This window comes from Homo sapiens, chromosome 22, assembly GCF_000001405.40.
Source record: "Homo sapiens chromosome 22, GRCh38.p14 Primary Assembly".
Classification (NCBI taxonomy): domain Eukaryota; kingdom Metazoa; phylum Chordata; class Mammalia; order Primates; family Hominidae; genus Homo; species Homo sapiens.
Window position 1 is genome coordinate 27835597 of NC_000022.11, and position 14556 is coordinate 27850152.

The 14556-nt window shown below is 48.9% G+C and overlaps 1 annotated feature.

Annotated features, from left to right (window-relative positions):
- Positions 6729–8134: an enhancer, noted in NCBI's record as "VISTA enhancer hs1271". NCBI's record gives its function as "enhancer in: limb[3/4]" and the evidence as "EXISTENCE:transgenic organism evidence [ECO:0001131][PMID:17130149]".

A 14556-nucleotide genomic window follows, 5' to 3' on the forward strand; every position in this document is an offset into this window, starting at 1 on the left:
TCGGGAGGCTGAGGTGGGAAAATCACTTGATCCCATGGGGTTGAGGCAACAGTGAGCTGTGATCACACCACTACACTCCAGCCTGGATGACAGAGGCAGACCCTGTCTCAAAAAGACAAAAACGAAAGCAAACGCTTCAGCATATTTTGCATTCCCTACATACTGATTGTGACCAGTATGAGCATGTGAATCCCCCTTGGAACCCTGGCTTTGCCATCCATAAAATGAAACCCTGTCTCCTAGGGTTGATGAGAGGGTTACATTGTAAAGTTCACAGACACAGTGCCTGACACAGAGTAAGCATTCTGTGCTTGGTAGCGATTGGTAGCTATTCTTCTATTTTTCTCTTCTTATCATCATAGTTCACCAAATCTAAGACACTGCCAGTTGTAAACCACATCACAATTTTAGAGATGTTAAAATGAGGGAAGAAAAGCACTTCTTAGAATTGATGGGATATGGTCTTGTTCCCATTTTCCAGATTAAGGCGTTATTGAGGCTTGGGGCAGGAATAGCACTGGCCTGTTTTCCCCCTTTGATCCCTGCTTCCCGCCCCCGGGACAGGACCCTCACTAGGTCACCCTGGTGTCAGGTTCAGGCAGACTTTGCTGTTCATGCTAAGTTACAGGAGGAGAATCAACACTTTTCAAGCGGTGGATTAACTTATTTCAGTGCTGTGCCAAAGAGAACCAGAAGTCTGGAGCAATTATGCTGATGGGGCCCACACCCACCCAACACCCTCGTCCCGGCCTCCACCAAGATGACTCAGCCCAAATTATCCCCCTAATTGTCTCAACCCGTGTGGACTCCAGCTGGGGCCCTCCTTCCCCCAAACCCGCATGACTGGATCCTTGAGGGCTGCAGACAGGCAGAGCGCTCCCCTCTCTCTGAAACGGAATGTTGCTTTCCAGGCCCTTCCACCATTGCTCATCAACTCAGTTTCCACTTCCCTCCCGCTTCGGCCCACCCTCCTCTGCGCACAGGCCTGGTTGTTGATGGTCTTTATGAAAGCTCCTGGGCCAGGCATGCACTTTGGGAGGCCAAGGCGAGAGATTGCTTGAATCTGGGAGTTTGAGACCAGCCTGGGCAACATAGTGAGGCCCTGTGTCTTTAAAAAAATAATAATACATTATTTATTATTATATATATATATATTTTTTGAGACGGAGTCTCGCTCTGTCGCCAGGCTGGAATGCTGTGGTGCGATCTTGGCTCACTGCAACTTCTGACTCCCTGGTTTGAGCAATTCTCCTGCCTCAGCCTCCTGAGTAGCTGGGATTACAGGCACGCGCCACCACGCCCGGCTAATTTTTATATTTTTAGTAAAAACGGAGTTTCACCATGTTGGTCAGGATGGTCTCTATCTCCTGACCTCGTGATCCACACGCCTCGGCCTCCCAAAGTGCTGGGATTATAGGCGTGAGCCACTGCGCCCGGCCAATAAATTAATTTTAAATTTTAAATTAATTTTTAAAAAATTTAAAAAGTAGCCGGCATGGTTGCATATGCCTGTGGTCCCAGGCACTTGGGAGGCTGAAGTGGGAGGATTGCTTGAGCCCATGAGGTTGAGGCCGCAGTGAGCCGTGACTGCACTGCTGCACTCATCCTGCGTGACAGAGTGAGACCCTGTCTCAAAAAAAAAAGAAAGAAGGAGAGAGAGAAAGAGACAGAAGAAAGAAGGAAAGAAAGAAAGAAAAAGAGAGAAAGAAGAAAGAAGGAATGAAAGAAAAAAGAGAGAAAGAAAGAGAAAGAAAGAAAGAAAGAAAGAAAGAAAGAAAGAAAGAAAGAAAGAAAGAGAAAGAAAGGAAGGAAGGATGGAGGGAAGGAAAGAGAAAGAGAGGAAGGAAGGAAGGAAGGAAGGAAGGAAGGAAGGAAGGAAAAGAAAGAGAGAAAGAGAAGAAAGAGAAGACAGAAAGAAAGTTACTTCTCTGAATAGACCTCCCTTTGGAGATCCCTGTTTCTTCACGCTGACCCTGCCTTACCCTGTTGCTAGGCCTGGGGGAGGGGAGTACTGAATTTTAAGTCCCTTGAGGGGAAGAACTATCTTGCACTGCCATCTGGATCCCACCCAGCAGAGGTCATGGCACAGAGATGATGTTCAAGTTAAGTGGGATTGGATGGAGAGAAGGAAATAAAAAAAAACCAAAGAAGTTTGATCATGGAAGAACAAAGGGGGCCTCTTAAGAAGGAGGGGATGTGCTAAGGCTGAATCAGCCTCCCTTAGCAAGAACAAGAAGACATAACAGCAAAAACAAGCAGACACAGTGATGTTTCACATAAACCAAAGAACACACAGGATCTCCAGGCAGATGGGAGAATGCACTCAGGGGTAGACTTTTGTATTCAGGATTCAAAAGAGAATTTTTTGTTGGCTAAGAAAGCTTTCCTAGTATGTTGATTTTATGAATGCAGAAGTCTCATGAATTGGACAGGTGTTTTTTGAAGACCCATTGGGGAGGCAGATTGGGAGTCATGGGCCCCTGGCTCAGGCTGTGTTCATTGCAGACTGGGAGACACTGGGAAACTTACTCACTTATTTTAATTGGCAGGGACACAGGAATGAATTGATTCCCTCAAGGACACTTGTTTGTGAGAGGCTCAATATCATCATTGGTCTAGACAGCCCCTCAAACCCAGTCAACTCCCCTCCCCATAGCCACAGACATGGGCCATCCTGTATTCAACATAGTTTTGTTCTTCCAGGCTATCTGCCACCCTTTTATATACACACATGTATATATCCAAGAACTGCCGTGGGTAAATGGTTTTTAAAATGAACATATATGATATTACCAACTGTGGCTCCTTTGCAACTTTCTTTTCTTGGTCAATATTAATTTTTAAGATTCATCCTTGCTGGTAAGTGTGGTGATAACTCACTCCTTTTCATTGCTGTATAATAATCCATTTTACAAATATCCCTTTAAAAAAAAAAAAGTTTAAGAGACAGGTTCTTGCTTTGCTGCCCAGGCTGGAGTATAGTGGCATGATCATAGCTCACTATAACCTCGAACTCCTGGGCTCAAGTGATCCTCCCACTTCAGCCTCCCAAGTAGGGGGGACTACAGATGCACTACCACACCTGGAGAATCTTGTTTTTTAGTTTTTATAAAGACGGGGGTCTCACTCTGTTGCCGAGGCTGGTCTCAAACTCCTGGCCTCAAGCGATCCTCCTGCCTTCGCCTCCCAAAGTGCTGGGATTACAGACGTGAGCCCCTGTGCCCACCCAGTATCCGTTATTATATCTATCCATTTCCCCACAGATGAACATCTAAGTTGTTTCCAAACCTGACCCACTAGACGCTTCACTTCCTCCTTTCATGGTCTCATCTATAAAAATGAGATGCCACAGATGACTTCCAAGTTGCCACAGGCTGGCTGCTTCAAATGCAGACTTCACCCCCAGGAAGCTCACAGTTCAGCCAGGGAGCCATGATTTGTACATAAGTGAAAGAAATCTCACTCCATGACTGAATTGGGTGATAACTGGCATCTTAATCCTCATCTCTGTTATTGGCCTTTAAACCCTTGCCACCCAGAGAATGCTTTGCACAGTGTCTGGCACTCCTGGAAGAGTGAGTGAGGCCAGTGGGTGGTATGGCATGGGTGAGACAGGGAGGAGTGGGGTGCAGCTCTGCCAGTTGCATCAGTTGCATCGGGGGCCCCTGCCTGGTGCATCCATAGCAGCCCAGCCTGGGCAGCTTCCTGTCCCAGCCCGGCAGGATGCACCTCACGTCACACAGCGGGAATCCTCTTGCTGTTATTTACATTGCTTGCAAAATCCAAGAAATCATCCCTGAATATGTGGCCCAATGTCTTGAGATTAAATCCTTTTAGCAGGATTCTCTTTCCCCAGTATTCTCCTGTGATCCAGACCACAGAGCCCGCCTGACGGTGGATCCGGATTTGATGTTACTGGGAACAAGAAAGAAACCGTGTTGCGAAAGCTCGGAATCAGATCTCCGGCCCAGTGGAAACACTGCCATATGCTTAATTGTGCTCCAATTACACAGAATGCTCCAGAATCGCTGCTCTGAGGTGGAGAGACGCTAATGGCCATCATTACATTTGGACAGCCCTGTTCAGCTTTATGTGATCTTTGCAACTACTGTGTGGTTCACTGAGAGTTGCTGGCCTATTTTAACACAAGAGAGACGGTGGAGTTTCTCATTTGCAAAAGCTGACTGAGCACCTAGGATGGACCAAGCCTGGTTCCAGCCACTGAGGACAGTGCAAACCAGGCTCTCATGGAACTTCTAGTCCAGTGGGGAGACAAGCAACACACACACGCACGCGCGCACACACACACACACTGCCCGTAGAGATAAGTGCCGTGAAGAATTAAGAGCTATGAGAAATGGGAACAGGGCCTAAACAGTGGTCCAGGGAGGCCCCCTGCAGAGGAGCATTTGGGTACCTATGTGAGGTAAGGGAGGGAGCTGCGAGGAGGAGATCTGGTGGAAGAGTGTTAGCAGCGGGAACAGCCAGTGCAAAGGCTAAGGGGACCTGCTTGGTGTGTTGGACAGCCGGTGTGGCTGGAGTGGGGAGAAGGACTGGAAGATGGGGAAAGGATGACACTTGTAAGGGCCACAGGAAGGAATCTGCACTTCACTATGAGTTGCATGGGACAGCTCTGAGCAGAGGAGGGATGTGACCTGTTTGATACTTAGAAGAATCTCCCCCACTTTTATTTGAGACAATGTCTTGCTCTGTTGCCCTGGCTGAAGTAATGTAATTACAGTGGTGTAATGATACTTCGCTGCAGCCTCAAACTCCTGGGGCTCAAGAAATCCTCCCACCTCAGCCTCCCAAGTAGCTGGAACCACAGACATACGCCACTGCGCCCAGCTAATTTTTAAATTTTTTGTAGAGATGGGGTCTCACTTTGTTGCCCAGGCTGGTCTTGAGCTCCCGGGCTCAAGCCATCCTCCCACCTCGGCCTCCCAGAGTGCTGGGATCACAGGCATGAGCCACCACGCCTGGCTAGAATCTCTGTGGTTCCTCTGTGGGAGGGGAAGGGGCCAGTTAGAAAGCTCTTGAGCAACAATCCAGGGAGGGAGGATGGCAGCCGGACAGGGTCAGGGTGGAAGGGACAGAAGTGATGGGAAGACGAGAAGAGTCAGACCCTGGGCAGATTCTGAAAACAGAGCCAACGGGATCCACTGATGCATCCAGTGTGGGCATGAGAGGCACATCTGACCCAGTCAGAGAGCAGGGAGTTGAGCCAGGTCTCCAGCTCACCGGTGCCCAGGGCTCTCTGCCACAGCCCGTCACTAGAGCTTTAGTGCATGCATTTGAACAAGTATGATGACTGCCACTAAATCCAGTGGGTTCGATCCCTTGTTAAGGGGATCACTCGGCTTCTTTTCCATTTGCAGACTCTATTCCTCACCTCCATTCTCTCTTGCCAACAAGAGAGAATGTGTGGGTCTAGGCCCCTGGGTCAACTGCAGTGTTTCACGGAAAGATAAAGCCCATTCAAATAATCCTGTATGTTTGCACCTACTTTGAAGCCTCACCTCAAGAGAAGAGAAGGGTCTTTTCATCTTCACTGCACAGACTGGAACAGAGGTGGCAAAATCTGCTGCTCAAGGCAACAGGGCAACTTGGAGTGATGGGGAGATAGTCAGGACCTGGGTGAGCCCTGTGTAAGTTGAGTGAAGGATCACGGTACTGGGATCCTGCTGGACCCAGACACTGGTTCCCACTCCCTCCCCATGGCTTGGCCTATTTCCCAGTTCCCACTGCCCAGCCTGGAGACCTCACACTTGAGTCCACCTTCATGCATAGCTGTACTGGAGGAGCTTCGAACTTTAAACATTTGAAAGCACCCAGGAATGTTGAACTTCGTTAATCAGGTACAAGGGGTCCAGCTTCTTATTCATTCTGCCAATAGAAGCTCCCATGACGATTTAAGGAAGAGAGAGCAATTCCATCTCAGAACATTCACAGTTCTAGTCCATTCTGTCTTTGAATCTCTTAGGTCTAATTCCTTATCTGTTCCATCTTGAAACTTTCAAGGTTTTCATTCCTTTGAAAAAAGAGCCTAGATCAGACGCCTGCCCTACTAGAATTTCCGTGATCTAATTTCTAATACAGTCCACCCCAGAACTTTGGAAAAGTGTGTGGCAAAGAATTGTGTGTCCCATTCTCTACCATGAATATCTGCTTGTATCCAATTATTCCTCCAGTCAATCTTTTCTGAGTGGTGACTGCAAGCCAGGCACAGGGCTGGGAACTGAGAACAGAAAAGGGACCCGGACAGAGGGAGACAAACACCGTTAAGTACATGATGATGGTGTTGTGTACTAAAATCGTAAGAATGTCCTCTAAGTCCACTGTGTGCCAGGCACTGGAGAGAGAAAGCATGGGTCCTGCAGGCACCTGTGGCTGAACGGCTTTTAGAATCACCATCAGAATTACACATGAGAACAAATTAAAATGCAGGTCTTTAGGCCTGAGCCCTCAGAAGTTCTTGTTCTGCCAGTCTGGATCAGTAGGTGGGTCCAGCTAGGGTGACCCATCGTCCCAGTTTGCCCCCAATCTAAGGGGTTCTACAGGAGGTGGGGCTTTCAGTGCTAAGACCAGGACAGTCCTGGGCAAAGTGTGGTGGTTGGTGCCCCCTAGACCCAAGAGTCTCTATTTTTAACACACTCTCCAGTTGATTCAGACACAGGGAATCTGCAGGGCCAGGTCAGGACAGAGAGGAAGCCCTGAGTTCTCATCTTCCCTGGGACAGACTCTGAAATCCAGAGGAGTTTGTGCAGGCAAGGCTGGCTGGCAAAGGATGGGTAATCCAGGCAGAGGGGGCAGCCAAGGCCCCCCGGAGTAAAAGTGCTGGTGAGGTCTAAGACCCCAGATCTGCTCACCTAGATCTGCTTCAGAGCATTCCCAGCACAGCAGGCCAGTGCAAGGAGAAGTAGAAATTAAAAAGGATTTGATGAGCCTAACTGAGTGGAGAGGTCCAAGCTTGCCCATACTGCCAGGCCAAATTTCCCTGCAGCCCCCAGCTGGGCACAGCTGAGCTATGGCTTCCGTGAGCTGCAGGATATTTGGAATAAAGGCTCAACCTTGGAAAAGTATTAATGAAAATGTCACAGGCACTAAAGTCAAAGCAGATGTGAAGCCAGCTACACGGGCAGACATAACTGATAAGAAACAGCCCAGGAGAGAACAAAACCTCTTGAGATTAGGTCAAGGGCAGACAAAAAAAAAAAAAAATTACATCCGGGGGTTCCCCATGGCAACTCAGAGGAACACTGTCGCGCCTGTGGAACAAGCTGACATTTTTGTGCTGCTGTGTTATATATTGACATCCCAACAGGACAGCGTTCAGAGGCCTCCACATCAGCAAATAAATATTACGTCTCCATCTTCAGCTAAGCAGAGCTGTGGTGCATTCCTATTACTTCATGTGGATTAACCATCTGGAAGTTGAATCAAGCCACAGAGTAAAGAATGAGATCCAATTTTGCATTCACCAAAATAAGCCGTACTAGTCTCAATTTATGGCAGATGGTTATGCAGTCTCAGCGGGCCAAAAAATCTCTCTGCAAAAGAATAAAGTTTATGCCAATTACTGTAATAGGAAACAGCACAACAACTGTGTGGGGTTGAGTAAGATCGCAGAGATTGCCGTACAGCTCATAAACTGCGGGGGGCCAGGGGAACTATGGGGACCCAGTTAATTCATTAAGATAACGCGAGAGAAATCAGGAGCAGAGTTCGTCATAAAACAGAAATATTTCCCCGCAAAGGATGGGAGGGAATTGAGGTACAGTGGCTCCTATCTGGGTGGGGCCTGGGTCATGCTGCAGGCAGGGCCAGGGAAATGGTTAATGGTCACAGGGAGGCTGCCTGGTGACCCGTGGGAAAGGTATAGGAAGAGAGCCGTTAAACTCTGGGTTTCTCCACTCCATTCATTCAAAACAGGTCTGTTGAGCACGGGCTAGTCTGTGGCAGGCAATGGGCAGGCCTCGAGCCTACCATGGCCAGTGCCCTGCACTCCTGGGATCTGGCCTTAAGGAGCTCCCAGCTTGGTGCCCAGGAGGGAGGCTGGTCGAGTCGGAAGGTCCAGGGAGGCTTCTTGGAGGGCAGGGCCCTGGGGCTGAGGATGAAGGATGAAGAGGAGGGAAAAGGGCTCCGGGCCTACAGGACACACTGTGGGCTTTGGTCTCAGAGAACCTGGAAGAAGGCTATCCTGGCTGCAGCCTGGTGGTGAGGGGCAACAGCTAGGCAGAGATGGAGAGGGTGGCTGGGCCTCTTGGGCCCAGAGAGGTTTGTCTGTGTCCTGAAATCAAAGATGGAATGATATGCTCTCTCTTCCTTTTGGATAGGGATCTTTGGCTACAGGAGCTCTTGACTCTTTGCAGCTGAGAGAAGCTTTTAAAAATTTTTTACTTTTATTTTGAAACAGGGTCTCACTGTTGCCCAGGCTGGAGTACAGGGGTGTAATCTTGGCTCATTGCAGCCCCAACCTCCTGGGCTCAAGCTATCCTCCCACCTCAGCCTCCTGAGTAACTGGGACTACAGGTGTGCACCACCACACCTAGCTAATGTTTTATTATTATTTTTTTTTTGTAGAGATGGGGGTCTTGCTATGTTGCCTAGGCTGGTCTCGAACTCTAAGGCTCAAGTGATCCTCCCGTCTCAGCCTCTCATAGGGTTGATATTACAGGCATGGGCCCGGCCTGAGAGCAGCTTCCTGACCTATGTCTGCTCAAGGAGATGGGAGGGCAGTAACTCCTCACTCCCCAGGGTGCTGTCATGATGGAATGAGGCACTACAGCACAGAGGAGGGATTCACTCTTTCTCCATCATCCTGCCTGAGGAAAGCACTGCCGGTGACCTCCTGGCCAGCACCTCCTGGGATAACGGCTTCCATATAACCTGTTCCCCACCCCCACCCTGGGAACTTTCGTGCCCTGCTAGGACTCAAGTGGGAGGGTTTAGGCAGTTGGTCTGGGACACATCAGGTTTCAAAACAAGGTTGCCCGTTTCCTATACAATGTTGGTTCAGCTCTCGTATTTGTTTTTAAATGAATGCTGACATTTGGGGTTCACAATAGGGTGACCAACTGTTCCAGTTCCCCCAGGAATGTACTGGTTTTAGCAGCAAAAGTCCAGCCTTCCAGGAAACCCTCTATCCTGGGCAAACCAGAATGGCTGGTCACCCTCGCTGAATAACAGACCAACCAAGAGGCAACCCCAGTGTTGCAGAGATTTCCACGCATCACTGTGGCCAGGCCTGTCGCACAGCCACATTCTGTGTTGGTATAATGACCTCGAGTTCCACCAGCAGGACACTGAGGCTCAGGGGGACTGCGACCACTTGGGGGCCTGTTGCTTGGTAAGTGGAGGCAGTGGGCTTGGAATGCAGGTGTTGGATGCTAAAACCCCAGCAGCAACGTCAGTCACGACCACCGAGCTGCACATTCTTGAGATAGGTTGACAAGTAATGGAACGAAGCTCTTCCCAATCAACAGCAATCCCACTGTTCCTTGCTTGGCCAGAGGTCTCTTCCCTGTTCCCATGAAGGCCTGAGCAGACAGAGGCCATCTCCTCTTGGTGGCCCGGAGCCAGGCTGGGACTGGCTGCCTAGTCACCCACAGAGTCCCCCTCCTGCCCACCCCCCCATCCCCAAGGATACTGGATGCCCTGCGGCATAACCTGCGGGGACAGCAGACCAACGTGGAGAGTGAATCGCAGGGCAAGTGGGAGAAGCCCCCGCCTGAGGCAGGGAGCTCCCCAGCAGGAATGCAGGAGCTGACTTCAATCGCACAAGTGGAAAATCTGAGCCTGTCAGGTTGGAAGAGGCCGGGAGGAATCCTGAAATACAGCCCCCACCCCCACATGGGCTTTCTGGCACGCACTGTGTGGAGGAAGGGGAGTGAGCTCATGGGCCATGAGATGCCAAACCGAAAAAATCTGATCCCCAGTGTTAGAAGGCACCGCTGGACAGTCACATATAGAAAGGGTTCTTGAGGCCTTGTGTCTTACAAAAAGTTTTAGTAAGATTCTCTTGTCAAGTAAAACACTGAAGACAGTTCTGGGGGTAAGGGAGGCGTCTACCCACGATCCCCCCACGCTAACAAAACCACCACAGAGGCTCCCTTCTGGATGCTGGCAGGCCGGGAGACTTCCTGCCTGGCCATGGCAGGAGAGGGAGGGCAGGTATTCTGATTTCTCACCCTGCTGCAGCACAGTTCCTGTCTCTGCATTTCATTATCATTAAACCTTGCCCTCCAAGTACTCCGAGGCGGCTTACAATAGGAGGCATGGATACAGGAGACCTGAAACCCTCAAGCCTCCCAGCACCATTGCAAAAACCAAGGATGAGGGGTGGGAAGGGGGAATGAGGAGTTATGGCAGAAAGCCTTGCCTGAGGAGGGTGTCTCGGTTGGATGTAAAATGCAACATGGGGGTTCCTGACACCAAGACTGAGGGGATGCTCAACACTGTCTAGGAAGAAATGTTTTCTTGGCTCTGGGAAGAATCAGCCATGGAAGTTTACTCCTAAGGGGTGTTTGGGAGCCTAGGGTGTCCATAACAGAATTTATGTCATTAGGGTCGCCCCTTGCTGAACGCCACAAGCATGGCGCTTTGCAGTTCTCAAAGACAAGGCAGCAGGATGAGCACCTCTGAAGTGGCCCCTGGATGACAGCCCTGGCTCCACCACTTTTAGTAGTAAAATCTGGGGCAAAATATATTAATCTGCGCCTCAGATTCCTCAAGCATAAAAGGATAGTGACAGCACCCACTTCATAGGGTGATTGTGAAGATTAGAGGCCAATTATGTGCTGTACCTGACTTACAGTAGGTGCTAGCTATTAAGTGCTGGTTGGTACTGCTATTATTGTTTGCAATCTGATATGTTAAGAGGAATAACCATGAAAAGAATCTTAAAGCAGGGGTTTGGGAAACTGTGGCCCTTGAGCCAAATCTGGCCTGCTGCCTGTTTGTGTGAAGTTCTGTTGAAACAGCCATGCCCATTTAGGTAATGTCTATGGTTATTTTCCCACTATAAAGGCAGCGTTGAGTAGTTTAGTTGCAACAGAGACTGTATGGCCCACGAAGCCAAAAATATGTACTATCCAGCCCTTTATAGAAAGTTTGCCGACCTCTGATTTAAGGGAATGAATGGATTGAGTGACGTCTATGCATGGCTGTTCTGGGCTTGATCCCGAACCTCCCTCCAGCCTCACTTGGGAGAAGTCTCTCGTCCTACACAGCACCTCCCTTAGAATGACACTGGGAGAGAAGACTATAGGACACATTGGGTGGGGAGCACTCGCAGCACCTCTTGGTAGGCTGAAAAGTTGTTTCAGGGACTCCCCGGGCCATGGGAAAGTGGAGACGGCGCTGAAAACCTGGCATCACTATTCTGGGCTGCAGAGAGCCAGCATGCAATGGGATGCCTGGAGGCGAAGCTTTTGTTTAGCACATACATTAATAAACACAGGAGGTCACTCCTTCGTTCCACTTCATGAACCTCCCTCAGTCTGGAGTGCAAGGCAATTCTGCTATCGACTGATTAGCAGGTGGTGTCAGAATATATAAGGGATCAACAAGGCGGAAGCATGTCATGGCGATTTACTGCTTCCTAGAAATCCAAGAAGTAAACAGATTCAACCCAAGGTGGAGTGTCACTGACTCGCAGAAACTCTGGGCTCATTTTCTAAGCAAAGGCCTGGACTTAGCACATCCCATCAGAAGCCAAGACCCCAAGCCCAGGGTAAGGTGTTCATATAGGGAGTTGTATTTCAATCGTGGAAAAGGTACAGGATAGCTATGAGCCTTTTTATGAGTGTAGGATTTAGTTTAACAGCCACAGACAGCATTTTCTGGACAACAGATGTAGAGAGAAACTATGCCAGTTGAGAAGAGTTTAATCAGAATTATCTTCTTTTTTTTTCTTTTTTTGAGACAGAGTCTTGCTCTGTCGCCCAGGCTGGAATGCAGTGGCGCCATCTCGGCTCACTGCAACCTCCTCCTCCAGGGTTCACACCATTCTCCTGCCTCAGTCTCCTGAGTAGCTGGGATTACAGGTATGTGCCACCACGCCCGGCTAATTTTTGTATTTTTAGTAGAGATGGGGTTTCATCATGTTGGTCAAGCTGGTCTCCAACTCCTGACTTTGTGATCTGCCCGCCTCGGCCTCCCAAAGTGTTGGGATTACAGGTGTGAGCCACTGCGCCCAGCCTATCTTCATTCTATTCCATACATCAACTGCTTTTGTTAACCCATCATAGCTCTGCCCTTCAGCTTTCTGTGCATATTGGTGGGGGATCAGGTGCTTAGAGCTATTTCTGTGGTCAATGTGCATGTTTAGGGCAGCAGAGAAATCAGTTTGATTCCTTCCACCTGTGACTGACCCTGTACAGGCAGTGAGACTGATGAGCCTCATTGGCTTCACTTTAAGAATGGCAGAAGGACACTGGCTTTGGCTGCAGTAGTTTTTTGGGCCTCAGGAAGTCATGCACGTGTTCCAGAAGGGGCACAGCACCAAAGCTAACTCTGGCAGAGACTGATTATACACACAATCCCCTAACCAAGGCTTGGCAAATGAGGCATGGCCTCTCCAGTCAAATCCAGCCTGCCATTTCTCTGTGTAAATAAAGTTTTACTAGAACAGGTACAGTGCTCATTTATGTGTCTTCTGTGGATGTTTCTGCATTGTGAGGGGAGAGCTGAATAATTTGTAGTAGACCATATGGCCCACAAAGCCTAAAATCTTCTACAGGAACTTTTCAGACCCCACCCTAGATGAGAGGATGGTGCATCAGAGCATAGTTTGCATTGGACCAGGACATACAAAAGGGGCAGGATTTCAGTCATTTGGGGGCGTTTTTTAGACTTAGGGGCCAGTTAGGATTTCTGGCTTGGGCAGCACAGCCAGTGATACAGTTAACCAATAGTAAATGCAGACAGTACATTTTGGGGAAGGAGGAAGGACTAAAAAGAGTTTTGCTTTAGATTCGTTTAGTTTGCAGTCTCTGAAACCTCTGGTTTAGGTGCCTGGAAAGCAAGGAGGGAAATGCAGACTTGGAGCTCTCTCCTCTGTTCTCATCGAATTTTCTACAATCAGCTACCAAAACTACTACTTCCCACTGCTAGTTGGTAGGCTTCAATTCTGAGGGCAGAAGTTACATCTTCCTGACTTTTTGGCTATTAATCCCTCTGCTCGAACCCCAGGACTCAAAAGGGTCCTTGGCACAGGGAAGGCAGATATCTGTTATAGGTAAAAAGGAGCCATTTTCAGAGTCAGTTTCCATCAGGGAAAGTTACTTGGGGGCACAGCTGTGGCGCCTACCTCTAAGGAGCTCCCAAACTCTTTGGGACACAAAACACACAGAGATCTAAAGATGACATCTATTAACCAAAGCGTAGTCTGTATGAGCCAAATGAGGGGTGTGGACTGCTGCAGAGGGAGTCATTCCAAGTTAAGGTCTCCTAGAGGAAGTGCCACTTGACGCCAGAGCTTTGAAGAATGGGTAGGGGAGAGAAGGCAGTCATCTCAATGATCTTCCAGGAAGAGAGAACAGGAATTCTCTTAGCAATTTACCCCGTCCTTTGAACAGAGAGCACACCAAACCCAAGCCACAGAAAGACAACTGGTAGATAAGTGATATTTTCTTTTTTTTTTTTTTTTGACAGAGTCTCACTCCGTTGCCCAGGCTGGAGTGCAGAGGCACAATCTTGGCTCACTGCAACCTCCACCTCCCGGGTTCAAGCGATTCTCCTGCCTCAGCCTCCCAAGTAGGTGGGACTACAGGTGCTCGCCACCATGCCTGGCTGTTTTTTTTTTTTTTTTTTTTTTTGTATTTTTAGTAGAGACGGGGTTTCACTATGTTGGCCAGGCTGGTCTTGAACTCCTGACCTCATGATCCGCCCACCTCATCCTCCCAAAGTGCTGGGATTACAGGCATGAGCCACTGCGCCCAGCTGATAAGTGATATTTTCAAAGGCTCCCCACATGGGTTCCCCACAGGGTGGAGGGCACAGGTTTACACGAGCTGAATTTTTTCAAACCAGTCTTTCTAGCACAACAGAACTGACAAGAGATGAGAGTCCTGAAGACATAGTCTGGGTACAGTGAGAAGAGCCCAGAATGGAGGAAGCATTCTTTTTTCCTCTAGGGATAAATTTTAGTTCATGATTTAAGTCAACAGAAGAGAAAAATGTAAATGCCTGAGGAAGTCATGAAGCAGCGATTCCTCCTAAGAGGCTGTAACCCCCACTGGGGAGTGTATGTGATCTTGAGGGAGTGGGGGAAGTAAAAATGAGTCCTAAAATATTTTTAAAACAACAGATGCCTTCCAGTGGGGGCCCTTTTGGATGGAAGAAAGGGATGGCCACCAAAGCATCAGGTGTCCCAGCTGCTGAGTACTGCATTCAATATTTAGCCTGGCCTTGGAACTTCTGTGAGAGGCAGTTTTAGAAGAGCTGCAATCTCTGCTTTCCAGGGCAATCCGGCTGAAGAACCAGTTCTGAAGAGACCTGCTACGGCTTAATGTTTCCAAATCAGAAAACATAACCCCAAGTGACACTGGCAGG